Genomic DNA, 20,392 nt, shown 5'->3' with positions numbered 1-20,392 from the left:
ATAAATTAATAATTCTAGAGATAAAAGAAACAGGATCTGAAATTTTAAAATTTACCTATTGTACTCACAGGTAGATGGGAGATGGCAGAAAAAAAGAGTCAGTGAACTTAAATAGAAATTACTCAATCTGAAGAAAAAGGAGGAAAAAGATTGAAGAAAAAGAGCTCGAGAAACCAGTGAGACAATATCAAGTGGTCTAACATCTGTAATTTTTGTCCCAGAAAGTGATAATAAAGTGAAAAAATATTTAAAGATATTATGACTTGACTCTGCTCAAATACAGTGAAAAATATCAACTCACAGAGTCAAGAGGGGCTGAGCGTAGTGGCTCATGCCTGTAATCCCAGCACTTTGGGAGGCCAAGGCAGGCAGATCACCTGAGATCAGGAGTTCAAGACCAGCCTGGCCAACATGGTGACACCCCGTCTCTGCTAAAAATACAAAAAAATTAGCCAGGCATGGTGGTGCACTCATGTAATCCCAGCTACTCGGGAGGCCGAGGCAGGAGAATCGCTTGAACCTGCAGGCAGAGGTTGCAGGGAGCCGAGATTGCGCCACTGCCCTCCAACCTGGGCAACAGAGCGAGATTCCATCTAAAAAATAAATAATGAAAATAAGAAAAATAGAGTCAAGAGGGTCAACAAACTCCACAGGACAAATAAAAATGAAGCACCCCCATGCACATTATAATTAAATTACAGAAATTTAAAGACAGAGAAAATCTTGAAATCAATCAGATGAAACTAAATTCCATACAGAAGAAGAGTGATAAGAATGATGGCTTCCATTTCCTCAGAAACACTGGAAGCCAGAAGGCAGTGTCATAGTATTTTTTTTGAGACTGAGTTTCACTCTTGTTGACCAGGCTGGAGTGCAGTGGTGCTATCTCGGCCCACTGCAACCTCCACCTCCCAGGTTCAAGCGATTTTTGTGCCTCAACCTCTCAAGCAGCTGGGATTACAGGCATGCGCCACCATGCCTGGCTAATTTTTCTATTTTTAGTAGAGACGGTGTTTCACCATGTTGGCCAGGCTGGTTTCGAACTCCTGACCTCAGGTTGATCTGCCCACCTCGGCCTCCCAAAGTGTTAGGATTACAGGTGTGAGCCACCGCCCCTGGCCTGTCACAGTATTTTTAAAGCGCTGGAATAAAACTGTCAACCTCTATTCTATAGCCAGCCTTCAAGAATGTAAGTAAAATGAAGACATTTTCAGATAAACACTAAAAATCTCTGAAAGGCATTTTTATACTTACACTGGTAGAAATATTGAAGAGAATTCCTCAGGTTGAGGTAAATGACCTTGTAAAATGAAAGTAACAGAAGGAATGAAGGTCATTGGAAATAGTAAATATAAAAGGGTATATGTTATTTTCTTTTCTTCTCTTAATTTCTTTACATGTATCTGTTCAAAACAAAAAAACCTTAGCACTGTGTTGTGGAATATATAGTGTATGATGTAATATGTTTGACAACCAAAGGATGGACACATAAATGTAATTACACTGTTGCACATACATATACAACACGTGAAGTACAATATTAACTCTAAGTAAATTTTGATAACTTAAACATGCATATTATAATCCCTAGAGAACCCATTAAAAATGCAGGAGTTATCACTAAAAGCCAAAAGATTAAAATAGAATACTAAAATTATCCAACTAACCCAAAGAAGGCTATAAGGAAAAACAGATGGAATAAAAGAAAGGTAAAGCAAATAGAAAAAAGTAGTAAATGGCACATTAAATCCAAGAAGATCAATAAATATATTAAATGTAAATTATTAAATACTCTGATTAGAAGACAGTTATTGTTAGAATGGATTGAAAAGCCAGACCCAACTATATGTTGTCTACAAGAAAGCACTTGAAATACAAAGACCAAGTTGGTTGAAAGTAAAAGGAAAAATACAAAACTTCATTAAAATTAAAACTAATACTTATAAAAAGACATGGTTACAAATACAAATAGCCTACAGAAGGGGAGAAAATATTCACAAAAATGTCTGGTGAAGAACTTGTATTCAGAATATACAAAGAACTCATACAACTCAACGATAAAAAGGTAAAGATTCCAGTAAGTATAAAAATTGGCAAAACACTTGGACACTTCACAGAGGAAAATATGAATGGCCAATAAGTGCATGAAAAACTACTCAGTATCTCTCATTAGTCATCAGGGAAATGCAAATTAAAATTACAGTGAGATGCCATTACTTACCCACCATGTTGGCTAGAAAAACTGACACCACCAAGTGGTAGCAAAGATGTAAAGCAACCGAAGTGTTCATACTCGAGAGAGGTGTAAAACCACTTGGAGAAAAGTTCCAGTAGTTTTTTATGAAGTTAAATATTTACATCGACTCTTGGCCCAGCAGTTGCAGTCCTGGGTATTTATATAAGAGAAATGAAGATACATGTACAAACAAATGTGTACAAAACTGTTCATAGCAGCTTCATTCACAATAGTCCAGACTAGAAACCACCCATCAGCAGGAGAATGGGTAAACAAATTTATATGGAGCTCTAAAATTAAACTCATCTAATGGGAAGTTTTTCAGAAAAGTAGTGTAGAGAACTGGCAGGATGGGAAGAGATGCACAAATTTAGTGGGAAATGGATTCTATATCATCATAGGAGTGTGGTTTACACAGGTATATCCATTTTTCAGATTTGTACAGCTAAGATTTGTGCATTTCAGAGTATGTGAATTTCTCTCCCCAAAACCTGTAAAATAATAATAATAAAAACAATGAAGCAGGTCGTGGGGATTGGGTGGCAATATAGATAGAATAATAGAATGATGACTATTATTGTAACTGGGTAATGGATATGTAGGAGGTCATTATATTATTCTACTTACTTTGTATATACTTGAAATTTTTCATTAAATGGAGATTTAGAAATTATTCCAACCTCCATTTTTATAATACATTATCTTAAATTTAGAAGTTTGATTTAAGAATGGTTGGATATATTCTGTGTCAAAGAAATATTCCATTGAAGTATAATTATTTTAGTTTCAGTTCAGTTTTTATTTGTTATTTACATTCAAGTAAAATTAAATTTAGAACTTCGTATTAAAATAATTCTTACATTATTTCTGCCAACCTACAGGTACATATGCAACTTATGAGTACAGATGCCTGAAATGATATTTGTCACCTATTAATTTTGATGAGTTTTTGGTGGCTAAAACTGGGGATTTGGGGGTATATTTTTGCTTCCTTCCTTGTGCCTTTCTGTATTGCTGAAAATTTGTAAATATTATTTTTACAAACAAAATTTATTCTTAAAACATATATATATTATATACATATTATATATATATCATGGGAAGTTTTCTAGTAATGAGAGCTGTCTATATCAACTAATTCAAATTTTGTCCCTGGGTGTTTACTAAATACCAATGCCTTGAGGAGCCTTAACATCTCTATGATTTTTTGAGCCTGCAAGCTTTCTGAGTGAGTGCATATTCAAATGTTTTGTCTTCCTTGTCTAAGGAAAAAAAAAGAAAAGAGGCCCTGAGTCCACTTCTCCCCTCTCTCGTGTTGCTATGCTATGTCAGGTAACAAAGATCATTCATTGTGTGTGTTGGGGGGTTATGTATGTAACCATATGTTTAAGAGAAAATGTAAGCGCTTCTGCTGTTGCCTTTATTTACTGTACTCTCACCAAAGATCCCACATTCCTAATCTCCACATGGTTGTATTGCTGTAACCTACATAAACTTGTGGGCTTTTTTCCTTGTTTAATACTTGAAGGGGATCAGTATTGTGGAGGACTCCTTGACAGACCTTCCGGCTCTTTTAAAACCCCCAACTGGCCAGACCGGGATTACCCTGCAGGAGTCACTTGTGTGTGGCACATTGTAGCCCCAAAGAATCAGGTGAGATTCCCTGGAAGTGTGAAGAAAGCATGCATGTGTGAATTGCCCAGTGTGGGGGGCCCACCAACTCTCAAGAGCCTCCTGTTGTGGGGGCTATTCGAGAGCTAAGGGATACAAGAAGAGGAAGGTTCCTGGACACAGGTATTTCTTCATGCGAAGACCCCAGATATTTTTTTTTTTTTTTGAGACAGAGTTTCGCTCTTGTCGCCCTGTCTGGAGTGCAATGGTGCGATCTCAGCTCACCGCAACCTCCACCTCCTGGGTTCAAGCGATTCTCCTGCCTCAGCCTCACGAGTAGCTGAGATTACAGGCACGCGCCACCACGCCCGGCTAATTTTGTATTTTTTTAGTAGAGACAGAGTTTCTCCATGTTGGTCAGGCTGGTCTCAAACTCCCGGCCTCAGGAGATCCGTCTGCCTTAGCCTCCCAAAATGCTGGGATTACAGATGTGAGCCACCGTGCCCGGCCTAGCCTTTGCATTTTTTTGAGTTGCAAATTCATGGATTTAATTTCCTGCTATATAATGACAATTTTCAAAACAGTTTTAAAAATACAAATGGTAAGCAGATCTCACATAGGATTGTTTAACCCTGCAGTGGATGTTATAAGCAGCAGCGACTAACTGTGGGAGGATAAAAATCCCCAGGTCCATGGACATTTCAGGTTACCATTTGCTCCCATCACAAACCCATCATGTCCTGATAATAGTTATTCTAGTGACTAAATAAAAAAGTGTGGATGCTTTGCCTCAACAAAGCCAACAAAAGCAAGCCACATTATCTCTTCAAAGAACAAGCTGGTCTGCTTTAGGGTGTTTTTGGTTGTCATTTAAAATAAAATATGTGCAGGTTCCCCACAAAAAGCTTCATTCATTGTTCTGAAATAATCAACAGAGAAGGTCGACTTTTCCAGTATTTATTAATTTGTGGTTACATATACAACTTTTTACCCTTTCTGGGAACCAGTTTCACATATTAATTGCAGGAAAGAACTTAGCATAGAAACACATGAAATCTACTTTGTGGACCTTTAAAGATAACTTTATAAAAATTATTACTATTAGAAACACTATAGACTTTAACCCAAACACTATGAGGTAAACATTATGATACTGTTTTTAAAAAAACTTTTCTAAATTAACCTTTCATATAGCTTGAACAGATACCATTTGTCATGTATTTCTTTTTTTATAGAAAATTATTTAAGCTAATATACCATGCAAGTTAGTGATTTGAACATATACACATATATACAGACATAAACAGTGATCATAATTCCAAAACTTGGTTTTATTTTTAAGAAGAAATATATGGCCATTTATTTAATAATGGAAGATTTTATAAGTCTGTTGAATGTTTTATAAAGTAATTTTAAAAATTGTGTTTCTGAAACATTTAAACCATTATGTAATTCTTGAAATTATATTGATCATTTTCTCTGTGACATTTGTAAATATATTTGACCAAATAATTCCAACTTAATTATACTTGCAGATTACAGTTAAGCATCTCTTTTCCATTGTTCTTCCCTTTGATCATTTAAATGTTAAGTTTGATTTTTATTTGATTTTAATGTGATTTTTGGCTTCTGTCAATTGAGTTCTTAATCACTGTGTTTGAAATCACTGGCAGTTTCTCAAAGGAGAAAAATATAATGGGAAAATTAAGTCCTAAATAGTTTCTATGCAAGGGAATTATTGTATTGAAGGAATTTCATTGGAATTTTCTTCTATTAAAGAATTACCTTACCATCATTTGTTACCACAGTTCTTTTCCTTTATCTTCTTCTTTACTTTTTTTAATCTTCTCTGCAAAAGTTTTTGTGACTAATTTCTTTTTTTTTTTTTTTTGAGACGGAGTCTTGCTCTGTCACCTAGGCTGGAGTGCAGTGGTGCGATTTCGGCTCACTGCAACTTCCACCTCCCGGGTTCGGTCCATTCTCCTGCCTCAGCCTCCTGAGTAGTTGGGACTACAGGAACCCGCCACCATGCCTGGCTAATTTTTTGTATTTTTAGTGGAGATGGGGTTTCACCGTGTTGGCCAGAATGGTCTCGATCTCCTGACCTCATGATCTGCCTGCCTCGGCCTCCCAAAGTGCTGGGATTACAGGCGTGAGCCACCACGCCCAGCCTTTGTGACTAATTTCTAAGTAGAAAAAGTTCGCCAATTTTTTTAATAACCTGGAAAGCATTTTATTAGTAAGTGGTAAGAAGTCACTGGACCCAAAGAGGAAATATTTTAATACAATTTAAAGCCATCTTAAGTATGAATAAGCATTATTCACCTATCACTGGCACTGACTTTTTAAAAGGTAGTTCAGTCCAAAGATGTGTGGAAATTATGGTCAAAGCCAAAATTACCTTTGTGTCCATCTGTGATGCTGTTGCTATTATCATCTTCACCTGGATTACTGTGTTTGAGTCTTCTCTAGCTAATAGGAATTAATGTCCTTTATCTTCCCTGAAGTAGCAAGGAGGGTTCTTGCCCACTTGCTGCTCGGCAAGATTGGGTACCAGCTGTCATAGGTAATAATAAATCCAGTGAGGTTTCCTTTGATTCACATGTTGGAAATGTTCTTTTAAACATTTGCTTGTATGGGGAATGATTGATTGCCTATTTAATCAAAATTTTCTATTCACGTGAATAATTTAGGACACTATTATTGGTACTAGTGCAAAAAATTGAGAAATACTAAAAACCTAACACTGACTTTGTAGATCAGTGCTTCTGTGCAACCTCTTCAAAAATAACCACACCCTGATTAGGCCGTGCACGGTATCACACATTTCAAACATACTTCAAGAAGACACTGCCATCAATTCCACTTCCCTGAATAACTGGTCCTGAAAATTTGACTTCTTTACATCTGATAGAAATGTCAGTCTCCTTCCCTCAAAAGGGGAACAACTCTATCCACTCAGCTCACCCTCCTACACATATATTCACACACACTACTACTCCCTGACATACAGTAGTATAAGGAGCATCTTAGATAATACTTTTTATTTCTATTAGCTTCTATTAAGGTATGTAGCCCCTTTTCCCACTATAACACACATCCAGTTATCCAATTACAATCTTGTTTTTCTCTTTCTTTTTCTTTTTCTCTGCAGCTTTATTGAGGTATAGTTGACAAGTGAAAATTATATTTATATGTGCAACATATATATTTATCATGTGCAACATTATATTTTGATATATGTATACATTGTGAAATGATTACCACAATCAAAGTAATTAACATATCCACCTCACATAGTTATTATTTTGTTTGTGTGTGGAATGTGGTGTTAACATTTAGGATTTACTCTCGGCTGGGCATGGTGGCTCATGCCTGTAATCCCAGCACTTTGGGAGGCCAAGGCAGGTGGATTACTTGAGGTCAGGAGTTTGAGAGCAGACTGGCCAACATGGTGAAATCCCGTCTGTACTAAAAATACAAAAATTAGCTGAGTGTGGTGGCGGGCACCTGAAACTCCAGCTACTCAGGAGGCTGAGGCAGGATAATTGCTTGAACCCGGGAGGCAGAGGTTGCAGTGAGCTGACATTGCACCACTGCACTCCAGCCTGGGCAACAAGAGTGAAACTCTGTCTCAAAAAAAAAAAAAATTTACTCTCAGCAATTTTGAAGTTTATTATATGTTATTATTAACTATAGTTACCATGCTGTACAATAGATCTCCAAAACCAATTATAGTCTTAAAGTAGGTTGCTAGTGTTACATAATGTTCCCATACTTTTGTAGCTGTAAGTGAACAGAGTTCTTAAGTTGAATATCCTAACTAGAGTTGATCTGAGTTTGAGATGATCTTTTGGAAAGATTACAATTAAAAGCAAAAGAATACCACAGTTTTTTTTTTAACTAAATAAGAAATATGCAACAAAAAGCACTTAATGCATACTTTTTTTACAAAGGAAAATCGTAGTATCCTCCAAATCTGGGGAGAGGAAGAATTCCATTTGAGGTTATTCAACAATGCTATTAATATTTGACACTTCTATTGTGCTTTCTCTAAAGCTTATAGAATTAAAGTTTGAGAAGTTTGATGTGGAGCGAGATAACTACTGCCGATATGATTATGTGGCTGTGTTTAATGGCGGGGAAGTCAACGATGCTAGAAGAATTGGAAAGTATTGTGGTGATAGTCCACCTGCGTAAGTAGCACCTATTTATGTCTTTAATAGTTTTATGGCTCTAAACTTGTTTCTTGTTCAGTTTCCCAATCACATTTGTTTTCTGGAAGATTTTATGTTGTTGTTGTTTTGTTAAATTATTGGGTCCTCTATTAGTTCTCGCACTGCTGTAAAGAAATACCTGAGACTGGGTAATTTATTTAAAAAAAGAGGTTTAATTGGCTCAGGGTTCTGCATGTTGTACAGGAAGCATGAGGCTTCTGCTTCTGGGGAGGACTCAGGAAATGTACAATCATGGTGGAAAGGAAAGAGGGAGCACACACATCACATGGCCAGAGTAGAAGCAAGGTCGAGGGGAGGTGCCACATGCTTTTAAATGACCAGAGAGCAGAGAGCTCACTGTCGCCAAGGTGGATGGTGTTTAAACCATGAGAAACCGCCCTGATGATCCAGTCATCTCCCACCACGCTTCTCCTCAACATTGGGGATTATATTACATTTGGGCAGGGACACAGATCCAAACCACTACAAGTCCCATAACCATGGAGTCAGCACCACCAAAAAAGAATAGCCAACCCAGGCCCTGAGGCAACATTAACAGGAGTGTCAATAGCCAAACAGAAACAAGTAGAGCTGGTGATACCCCAGGGTCAGATGCAGAGCCGGGTACCTGGATACATCACTGCCCTGTAAGAATGAGATCAAGCATCAGAGTGGAATGGGAAAATTCTGAAAACAAAACAAAACAAAAACAACCAGGGGGCTTAATACTGGGGATCCAGACAAGGAGACCCAGAAGTTTACGACAAACCCAAATGATTTTACCTTATCAGAGATCTGTCCTGGACTGTTTGAGGCCTTATGCCTCCCCCTCACATTGCTATCCAAATTTTTGCTAAGTGGACCTTGAAGGCACCATGTATTTATTCAACAAACATTTATGGAGCCAAGAGTTCTGCCACTTAATAACTGTGTGACATTGAGCAAGTTACTTAACTCTGCTGCAATATATAACTGTATTTCTGGTGTAATTATGTAACTGCATTTATATAACTGCAATATATAACTATTTCTGGTGTAATTCTGGTGCAATATATAACTGTATTTTGGTGCAAGATATTTCATAACTTCACTTACAATATTAGTAAAAGCAACAGCTGAAATTACTGCAGCTTGCCTTCAAGTCACCATTATGCCAATTTAAATACCCTTTTCTACTCTGTTGCTTAAACGTAATTAGATTATATGCATCACTTGATTTTATATGCATTATTATGGTTTTTCATTGACATATTTGAGTTAAAGGAGGGTATTTTCTATTACATTTACATTGATAAGAATGTTTTAATACATACAAGATAGTAGTTATAATTTAAGCATAACCATACCCAAATTTGGTTTACAGATGAATATATTGGAGAAGGGCCTATTTCTAAGTTCCTAGATAATTCTTTTCCCATTGCTGCTGTAACAAATTGCCACACGTGCAGCGACTTAAAACAGCACAAATGTATTCTCTTACAGTTCTGGAAGCCAGACACTGGACTAAAGTCAAGGTGTCGGCAGGGCTGTTTCCTTCTGAAAGCTCTGAAAGGGAATCTGTTTCCTTGGCTTTTCCTGCTTCTAGAGTCTGCCTGCATGCCTTGGCTTGTAGCCCTCTTCCTTCATCGGCAAAGTGTGTCACTTCAGTCGCTGCTTCTGTCTCCTCTTCTTAGTCAAATCTCCCTCTTATAAGGGCACTTGTGGTTACATTTAGGGCCTACCTAGGTAATAAAGGACACTCTCCTCTTCTGAAGAGTCTTACTCACATCTGCAAAGCCCCTTTGCCTTATAAAGAAACATACTTACAGTGTCCAGGGATTAGGATGTGGACATTGTTGGGGACTACACACCCTATTGAAAGCCAACACATTAATCTATGTCTTCCTTTGGACCTCCTCCTTTTTTCCCTTGAAACTTTCCTCCATTTATTAACCCTCCTCTTTTTCTTCATGTTTATCCTCTACCTCCCTTTTTATTCCTTCCCCATAGCCTATAAACCTAAGTTCTCCCAAATTAAAAAAAAAAGTTTTAAACTCTATTGACTCTGTCCTGGTCTAACTTTTCTTCCATGTCTCTCCTCTTCATATCCAAATACCTTTAAAAAGTAATTTCAAGCTTCATTTTCTAGCAATATGCAAGATAAGATATCCTTGAAAACTTTATAGAATAAACACTAAACAACATTCCTAAAGATTAAGAAAAAATTTTGAAAGCATCGCTGAGTTGTCAAAAAATAAGAGAAGTCATCAGAGGTCAAAAGTAGTAAGAAGCCCAAAGCCAGAGAGAGAAGCACATGCTGAAGATGGCAGCTCCCCCGGGGCATGTGCCAGTTCCTGGAAGCCTAGCACTTCATTCTAACAGACTGTGCTTGCAGACAAGAGACAAAGCTCAGGGTCCAGGCCAGGGGGGTTTGGAGCAAAGACCACAGCATGTATAGAAAAGGGACCCAGAGAAGCTGACACCAATATAAGTAAGCTAACTTTCTCCCTTCCCTAAGGGAGATAGTAAGGAAAACTGGCTGGTTTTGCCTTGGCTTTTGGTGAAGGAACGGATAGTCTCCGATGAGAATTTCTGACCAAAAACCAGCCAACATTTGGGGTTAGAATTTACACTACCTGACTGTCCCCAAAAAAACAGGTCAAGAATTTAGTTTAAAGCTTCCAAGTTGATAATGCCTGCATTAGAAACAGTAGAAATACAGTTTTTAACTTGCAAAACAGTGGAAGGAAACATGAAGTGACAAAAAATTCAGTGCAAAAGAAAGTAAGAAAAGAAAAAATGAGAAATATTTTCAAAAGCATGACAAAGCAGGTGTGATGGCTCAAGCCTATAATCCCAGCACTCTGAGAACCTGAGGTTGGAGGATCAGTTGAGCCCAGGAATTTGACACCAGCCTGGGCAACATGGTAAGATACCATCTGTAAAATTTTTTTAAAAAAATTAACTGGGAATGGTGGCATGCACCTGTAGTCCCAGCTACTCAGGAGGCTGAGGCGGAGGATCACTTGAGCCCAGGAGATCGATGCCACACTGAGCTATAATCGTGCCACTGCACTCCAGCCTGGGTGACAGAGCAAGACCCTGTCTCAAAAGACAAACAAAAAGTACAAGATAAGATGGTAGAAATGTATCTATCATCTAGATATATATAGGTATATCTATAAATATAACTGTAATCAATATAAATACAAATGGACCAAATAATTAATAGAAAAGTGTTATACTAAATAATTAAACAAAATCCAGTTATATGTTGTTTACAAGACACATCCCCCCAAAATAAAAACAGAGTTTGAAAATAAAAGGATATAAAAATGATTAGAAGCAAACACTAATTGAAGGAAAATTGGCATAGCTTCATTGATATTAGGAAAAAATCAATTTTAGGCAGAAAGCATTACCAGAAATAGTTGCTATATAAATGATAAATGATGCAATTTATCAGGCAGATGTAATAATTGTAAAATTTTAAACTTGTAAACTTGTACATAAGATTATTTGAAGCAAAAAAATTAAAAAATTAAGAAAGGCAGATCTACAAAGTTCATTATTGTAGTAGAGATTTTTAACACATCTCTTTCAATAATTAACAGATTAACTAACTGTTAATGAGAGAAAGATGGGAAATTAGGAGGTAGAAGATTTGAAAAACAATGAACAGGCTTGGTCTAATAGACAAATAGAGAACACTACATCCAGCAACTGGAGAAACTCTATTTTTTTCAAGCAAAAATGGACACAGGAGAAAGAAAAAGCCATATTTGCCAAATGATCACTAAAGAAATTTAATCAGTAATTAAAGGTTTTCCTGTCAAGGAAGGAAAAGTTCTGACAGATATTTGAGGTACAGACATTTCTAATACTGCACAGAATCTTCCAGAGAAAAATAGGGATTGTTCCACAACTAATTTTATAAAGCTAGTATGAACCTGACACAAAAACAAGGTAAGGACAGTACAAGAAAATAATATTAGAGACCAATCTCATTTATCAGTATGATAAAAAAGAAACGCTGAAACAAAAAACTTGGCAAGCCAAATTTAGCAATGTATAAAAAAAATTCTATGACCAGGAATCCAAGGTTGGTTTGAATTTAGAAACTTTATTAATTTAACCTTATACCTCACCAGATTAAAGTGTGACTTGTGGACTTATGTTATTTAATGGAAAAATCATTTTATTCACAAATGTCTTTTCTTAGATAGTTTGAACTTAAAAGTTTACATTTTGAAAAAAATTTATTTTAAAAGCAATAAAAATCCTGCTCAGGAATAAGTATAAAAATGTGCTTAATAGGGAAAATTATAAAACCTTGCTAAAATATATTTTAAAAGAGCTAAATAAATGGAGCTATATACAATGCTCATGAATAGGAAGACTCAATATCATTTAAAAATATTAAAACTGGTTTTCCATTAAGCCTAGCAGTCTAATTCTAAAATGTGCATGGGATTGCAAGGGGATAGGAAGAAGGGGGCAAAAGTAAGACAGTTCTGAAGGAGAAGAACCTGGCAGGAAGACTTGCTTTACCATGTATGGAACCTTATCAGAAAGCTGTTGTAATTAAGACAGTGTGGTTTTAAAAGAGTGATGGGTAGATGGCTAATTAAACAACAAGGAGAGGCCAGAAACATATCCACATGTATCTGCAGATTGGGCCCGTCACAGAGAACCATCAGTCAGCAGGAAAAGGATGGCCTCATTGAAAAATGGGGCCTAGACTATTTTTATTCATATGGAAAAATGAAATTATATTCATAGCTAATATCACACAAAAAATCAATGACAGATGGATTAGAAACTTAAATGAGAAACTTAGATGAGAATTTCTGTTCATCAGAATATACCCTGAAAGAGAGGGAAAAGAAAAGCCACAAATGGAAACATATTTATAACATATATTTGACAAAGGCTTAGGTTCCAGAACGTATTAAGAAATCCTAAAAATTAACAAGGAACAGATAACCACCCAGTAGGAAAAAAAAGGGGGTAAAAGACATGAAAAGGCATTCCCAAAAGAAGAAAGCTGCATAGTGAATAAACCTTTGAAAGGTGTGTGAATTGGTACGACCACTTTTGCACTGCAAGACATATACAAGAATGTTCTCAGCAATATGGTTTGTAATGAGGGTGGGAGAGAGTAAATAGCCCAATGTTTATCAACAAGAGAATTCTTAAATTGTGTTATAGTGCACACTATAAAGCAATGAAAACAGTGGATGAATCTCATAGTTATAATGTTGAGGGTTTAAAAAAAAAAAAAAAAAGGCTGAGCGTGGTGGCTCATGCCTGTAATCCCAGCACTTTGGGAGCCCAAGGCAGGTGGATCATTTGAGTTCAGGAGTTCGAGACCAGCCTGGGCAATGTGGAAATCCTATCTCTAAAAATACAAAACAATTAATGTCGCCTGGTAGTGCATGTAATCCCCGCTACTTGGGAGGCTGAGGTGGGAGGTTCCCTTGAACCCAGAAGATGGAAGTTGCAGTGAGCCAAGACCATGCCACTGCACTCCAGCCTGGGCGACAGAGTGAGACCTTGTCTCAAAAACACAAAACAAAAAAGAAAAAAAAAATGCACACTGTACCCTTTCATTTATGACGTTTAAAAACATGTAGACCTACACAATATATCGCATAGTGATGCATATGTGTGTGATAAACCTATAGCTAAAAACAAGAAAATGATAAGCACAAAATTCAGGGTAGTGGCTGCCTCCATGAGGGTGGAGGAGGGGCAGCCCTGGCGGCGGCTATTGAGCATCACTCATTTACCAGGGGTTTGACTGGAAGAGCTTGGCTGCCAGCTCACCAACTAACACTTTTATCCAGAGGAATAGTTTTCATAGTCAGAATACGTCTGGGTTAGAGCAGTGCAGAAAATGAGAAAACCTGTTTGGGGAGCTTTTCCCTGTTAAAAAATGAACAGGAGGAGCACTGGGGATAGGTAGACAGCACCCCATCATACTTGGTTTGATTCAGTGTAGATCAATGCCATTGAATTCTGTTCAGAAACATTGATTCCTCCCCGGCTGTGTGCTGGGCACCTGGAATACAAAGATAAATTAAAACTGCAAAGAAAAGTACTGGGAGGGAACAGAATAAGGCAGATAAGTAAATTGGCTAATGAATGTCCTGGGTGGGTTTTTGAGTTCTTTGGCCCAGTCTGGACAAGTGATCAGGGAAAGCTTTTGAAAGGAGATTGTGCCTCTCGAAGATGAGTCTTGAAGGAAGAGTTGGAGTTAGAGACAGCAGGGAGGACAAGCTCATCCCAAGCAGAGGTAACTCCATTAATAAAGATACGCGGGAGAGATGTGTGTTATTTCTGCAGCCAAAACCTTGAGTTGGGGCCTCTATACAGATGAGGCAGGAGGGTTGAGTTGGCTTCCGTGTGCTGCAGAGATGGTAACGCTCAACTGAATTTAGGCCAGGCGTGACAGGACCAGAGGCTCTAGAACCCCCGTCCTAGAGAAGGTGAGCAGGGAGCCTAGTTCAGAGACTGTTGCAATGGTCCAGGTAAAGTCGAGGAGGTGGAGAAGGGTGGTAGAAATGAAGAGGAGGGTGTGGATCAAGAAATACTTAGGAGGCAAAAATGGCAGGACATGGTGTTTGGTTGGCTGTAGTGACTGAAGGACAGGAAGACTATGGAATGATAACTAGAGACAGCTAACAGTAACTGGCTCTATACCACATGAAACAGCATCTCAGTCCGTTCTTGGGATTTGCCAATGCAGAGTGGATCTAAGTGAAATTTCCTCTTGTCTGCCTAGTGATTTATAACAATTTGCAGATGTAACATGGCCCCCAGTACATTTGTGGCACTGTGATTCTGTCACATTTATCCTAAAGCTCAGTTGCAGCAGAACAAAAATATGTCTTTGTTCCTAAAATACTCTTCCTTGAGAAAATTCAGTTTCCAATATACTACCCCCAAGGTTAATTCATAGAAAAGGCAGTGAATGATCATATAATTATAACATCATGTCTAGAAGGCTGACCTGATTGAGTCTTTCCTTTCCTTTGCTGCTTATAAGTGCTTTTTTTGTAATTTTATCATTTAAACAAAATTAACATGTTTTATTTGTAATTGTAGGTTAGAATTGTGTGTAGTGCATTGTTTTTATTTATTTAATGGGAGTGTTTTTCAAAAGCATGATAGAATATTTTCGTGAAAGGCTCGAATCTCAGAAGCATTATTTAAATAACTTCATCACTTTTGTGGCTGGAAGTGTCTTAGTCCGTTTTGTGTTGCCTATAACAGAATACCTGAAACTGAGTAATTTATAAAGAAAAAGAATTTCTTATAGTTACGGAGGCTGAAAAGTCCAAGGTCAAGGGACCACATCTGGGGAGAGCCTTCTTGCTGGTGGGGACTCTCTGCAAAGTCCCCACGCAGCACAGGGCATCACATGGCAAGGGGGGCAGAGCATGCTAACTCAGGTCTCTCGTCTTATAAAGCCATCAGTCCCACTCCCGTGATTGCCCATTAATCCATTAACCCACTTATCCATTAATCTGTGAATGGATGAATCCATTCCTGAGGGCAGAGCCCTCATGACCCAATCACCTCTTAAAGGTTCCATTTCTCAATACTGCCCCACTGGGCATTAAATTTCAACATGAGTTTTGGAGGGGATAAATATTCAACCCATAGTAAACTGTAAATGTAGATCACAAAGCTCACTTTTTGATTCATCTCATCCCCTGGCTCAGAAGGTTATATTCAGGACGGAAAAGATCACGCAGTTTTTCTAACTGGTTGGGTCAGGTAGATCTACCCTCTCTGCCACCCAACCCCACTCAGCACAGCTGACAGTAGGGGGAAAAAAATGCTGCTTCATTATTTGGTGTCCATGATGTGTAAGAAGTGATTGGCTGAGAAGATGTCTCAAAAAGGTGTTCAGTCAGACCACTGGTTAATTCATTTAAATAACTTGTTAAATTTTTTCTACTTCTGAATTAGTTTTTAAACAGAATTAATCAGACAGCATTTTTTTAACCATTGTGTAAATAACAATAGCAAAACTTAAATGAAACTATCTTGTGTAATATAGTAATCCCCTAAGATTTTAGAGAGCTTTTGAGCCTCACTTACCATCTCCACTAAATCTTTAGTGCCAGCTAACCAGGAAGCTCCTAAAATTAGAGCTCTTAATCAATGATGCCATTCATGAACACCAAAACAGATTCATCACTTTCTTTTTTTTCCTTTACAGCATTTTGCTAATGGAGATTATAATAGAAATGTTTCCATTTCAGACATACCGAAGAACTGCCATTGAAAATGAAATGGAAGTCCTTTGCATGGCTTTCTTAGCCCGGAGTGGATAGAAAAGATAATCAGTCCACTGAGATAATCCCTCTGGCTGCATCTTTACAGGGCGTGGGAATTTGTTCACCAGATTTGTCCATTTTATGCTCTGTAGCCAACATGGCAAACCCAGGCCAGCTTGAACGCAAGTCTTAGTTCAGAGAATCTGCCTTTTCCCAATCAGGCAAATCATGAGGTGCTTTTTGAAAACCAGCCATGTCCCAACGTCTGCCACAGTCTCTAGAGTTATCTGGTCCTGGGTTCAAGTTCTGACTCTCCCAACATACTAGCTATAGGGCCTTGAGTAAATCACTTGAACTCTCTGAACTTCAATTGCCTTTTCCATAAAAAAAGAGATAAAAATAGGGTTGTTGTGAAGGTGGAATGTGACAATTCACATAAAGCACAGTGCCTAGCTGAGCAAACACTCGGTAAATGTTAGCTATTAGAATTGGTATTTTTAAACGTTTTAACTTTTAAGTTTAAACAACTGGTAATCTATTGTCGGAAGTTAATGGAAAACTAGAAAATTTTACATTTTCAGAGAGGCACCACTTTTAAGTATTTATAAAAAAACACATTTTTCTTTTTTTAGGCCAATTGTGTCTGAGAGAAATGAACTTCTTATTCAGTTTTTATCAGACTTAAGTTTAACTGCAGATGGGTTTATTGGTCACTACATATTCAGGCCAAAAAAACTGCCTACAACTACAGAACAGCCTGTCACCACCACATTCCCTGTAACCACGGGTAAGTTTTCCTGTTTGGAAGTTTGTGCAAAAACTTTAGGAGTATAAGAAGAATTCTTTTAAAGTAGAAAAAAAATAAGAGGAAGATACTTGAAATTAAAGTTAAATAGGATGAAAGCTTTGGTAAGAGAATAATATGACTGCATTAATGAAAGAAAGGTATGGGGTGTAAGAATGCTTGTAAGCTAATAGTTTTTAAATATCAGGTAAGAAAATTATGACCATTGAACAATGACTAGGAAGCCTATTAGAAGCACAGATCATTCTAAGACTAAGTTTCTGTTTCTGGAACTGACAAACTTGTCGTTTGCTTTTTATTACATAGAATTGTGATATTTTAGGTTGAAGTTCTAGGGCCTTGCTATCTGTGTTTTCATATTCTGCCAATGTTTGTTTTTGGTTTTTTTTTTTGCTTCTCAGCGAAATGTCATATAAAATGTTATTTATTTATTTATTTATTTATTTTCAAATCGGAGTAAATTAAACAACAATATTCAACGAAGTACAGAGGCTGGTTGGGAAACTGGCCTGGGGGGCTGAGGCATGTATGTAGGGAGTGGAGAGGCAGGGTCTCTGTAGGTAGTACCTGGCCTATCAGCTCCACCCCCTGGGATTTCAGGCCTCAGATCTAAAAATCCAAACCCAGGGAGGAGGGGGAAAAGCGGGAAGGAAAGACTGAAGGTTAAGATGTAAAATAGGCTGAAATAAGCCCAGCTTTATTGCCCACATTTTCCATGTACACCTAGGCTGGGGCTGAGTACAGGCAGGCGCCTCTGGGTCTAACGTTTCCTTGCACTCTGCAAGTGCGCCACTGTGTGGTGTGGACGTGTACTGCCTCATGTAACTGCTGTATTTCTCCAGCTCAGCTCAGTAAGCCTTGGTGTCCATGTTCTTTCCAGTGAATTATCTGGTCACACCCATTGAGCTAGTGGTTCCCTTGCTTTTATCTCCATCCTCAACTTTCTCTGAAATCGCAAGCATGGATTTGTAATTCTTTCCTGGACACAATGTGACTGTAGCTATTTAAATGAAAGCATATACAAACTTGTTTTTATCACACTATTTTCTGCCTCAGACCTACTTCTCCACCTATTTTCCCAAGCACGTCCACAGCATCGGTAGCCGCACTCATAGGGTCATCTTTGATATCCTCTATCTTTTCTCCTGACCTCATGCCCTACCCCGCTCCCACCACACCGAGTAGACTGTGTTGTTCTCCCATTAAATTTATAGTCTACAGCTATGCTATCCAATATGGCAGCCACTGTGAGCACTTAAAATGTGGCTAATGATATTGAGGAACTGAACTTTTAATTTAATGTTAATGAATTTAAAATTGAAAAGCTTCATGTGACTAGTGACTACCAGATTGGACCACATGGGAGCCCAAACCCCTTCCCGTGGTGTGTCAGACCCTTCACACTTTGTCCCCAGCCTCTCTTTCTAGTTTCGTCTTCAGGCCTTGCAAACTCTCTCCTATGCTCTAAGTATTTTTGTGTTTATCCTATGTGTGGGGGAAGCTGTTGATGGGTTTAAGCAAAGTTCAGGATTAGTTTCACATTTTACAAAGATCACTGTGGCCACTGTCAGGTGAATGAATTGTAGAAATCCAGGGGGTCACCAGAGTCTCGTGCTGGTCCAGGCGAACTGTGCTATGGCACAAATTCAGAGAGAGTCAAGAGATGAGAGGGAAACAGTGACAGGCCTTGGTGATTCATTGGACTAGGGAGGTCAGGGAGGTAGGTGTCAGGAATGCCTCCCAGGTCCCGGGCTTGCACAGCTAGGGGGATACTGCCACTGTTCACAGAGGTAGAGAACTGGATTCGGAGGTGGATTTATAAATTAGGCTGTCGCCTTGTTGGGTTTGAGGTGTCCGTGAGATTTTCCAGTGGATATGCCATGCGTAGGGGTACACGGGTCCCCAGACTAAAAGATTTAAGCCAGATTTAAATTTAAGAGTCACCCATCATCCACAACTCGGGTCACAGCGCGCCCCTCCCCAAGGTGGTCTTCCGCGACCCGTACTGGTTTAAGAAGCGGACGGAGCTTTTCATTGCTGCCGAGGGCATTCACACGGGCCAGTTTGTGTATTGCGGCAAGAAGGCCCAGCTCAACATTGGCAGTGTGCTCCCTGTGGGCACCATGCCTGAGGGTATGATCGTGTGCTGCCTGGAGGAGAAGCCTGGAGGCCGTAGCAAGCTGTCCTGGGCATCAGGGAACTATGCCACTGCTATCTCCCACAACCCTGAGACCAAGAAGACCCGTGTGAAGCTGCCCTCTGGCTCCAAGAAGGTTGTCTCCTCAGCCAACAGAGCTGTGGTTGGTGTGGTGGCTGGAGGTGGCCGAACTGACAAACCCATCTTGAAGGCTTGCCAAGCCTACCACAAATATAAGGCAAAGAGGAACTGGTGGCCACGAGTATGGGATGTGGCCATGAACCCTATGGAGCATCCTTTTGGAGGTGGCAACCACCAGCACATCGGCATCCCCTCCGCCATCTCAGAGATGACCCTGCTGGCTGCAAAATGGGTCTCATTGCTGCCCGCCAGACTGGACGTCTCTGGGGAACCAAGACTGTGCAGGAGAAAGAGAACTAGTGCTAAGGGGCTCAATAAAGTTTGTCTTTATGCCAAAAAAAAGTAAGAGTCATCAATATATAGATAGTTGAAACAATGATCAAGAACGAGATGACCTAGGCAGAGATTGAGGGCAGGAGGAGGAGAGGCGCGGAGATTAACCCTCTAGAAACTTCCGTCTTTTTGAAGAGAAGGTTACACTGGCAAAGGTGACTGAAAAGCAGTGGCGAGGGAGGAGGGAGGAGAACTGGGAGGATGTGTGGTGAAAGCCGTGGAAGGGAATGTTACAAAAGGGAGTGGTAAGTGAGTCAAGCGTTGATGAGACTTCCAATAAGGGAGGACTACAGTGTTTCCGTTTGGTTTCATGACATGGAGTCTACTGGAGACGCCAGCACAATCTATGTAAGTGGCTTTGTGCCGCCAGCAGAACCCGGACAGTGTGTGCTGAGGGGAGTGTGGAGCATGGCAAATTGAGATAATAAGTTCAGTAGCTCATTCCCCAAGTTTGGCCTTAAAGAAGAAGGAGAGGCTTTGAGAGTCTTGAACCTGCTTATGTTGATGGGAGTAACTAGCAAAGAAGAAGGCAATGGCAGACAGAAGGAATAAACTGAGAAGGAAAGTTTCTATAAAGGTGAGAGGGGCTGGCTCCAGAGGACTCACAGAAGGCATGACTTCAGGTCGGAGGGGGGTGACCCC

General features: G+C 39.0%; 1 protein-coding gene and 1 pseudogene across 1 annotated transcript in view; both read left to right on the top strand.

Moving 5' to 3' along the window:
- PCOLCE2 (procollagen C-endopeptidase enhancer 2) overlaps positions 1–20,392 on the top strand; it is a 71,210-nt gene that overhangs the window by 42,271 nt on the left and 8,547 nt on the right. The window contains exons 4-6 of the mRNA NM_013363.4: positions 3,765–3,889; positions 7,907–8,043; positions 16,967–17,121. Coding sequence (NP_037495.1) covers positions 3,765–3,889; positions 7,907–8,043; positions 16,967–17,121 — 417 coding nt within the window. The remainder of the gene's footprint in view (positions 1–3,764; positions 3,890–7,906; positions 8,044–16,966; positions 17,122–20,392) is intronic.
- On the top strand, positions 19,085–19,752 carry RPL8P3 (ribosomal protein L8 pseudogene 3; annotated as a pseudogene).

This window comes from Homo sapiens, chromosome 3 (assembly GCF_000001405.40).
Source record: "Homo sapiens chromosome 3, GRCh38.p14 Primary Assembly".
Lineage (NCBI taxonomy): Eukaryota > Metazoa > Chordata > Mammalia > Primates > Hominidae > Homo > Homo sapiens.
The sequence above is the reverse complement of the archived record's forward strand: the minus strand, read 5'-3'. Positions and strand labels throughout refer to the sequence as shown.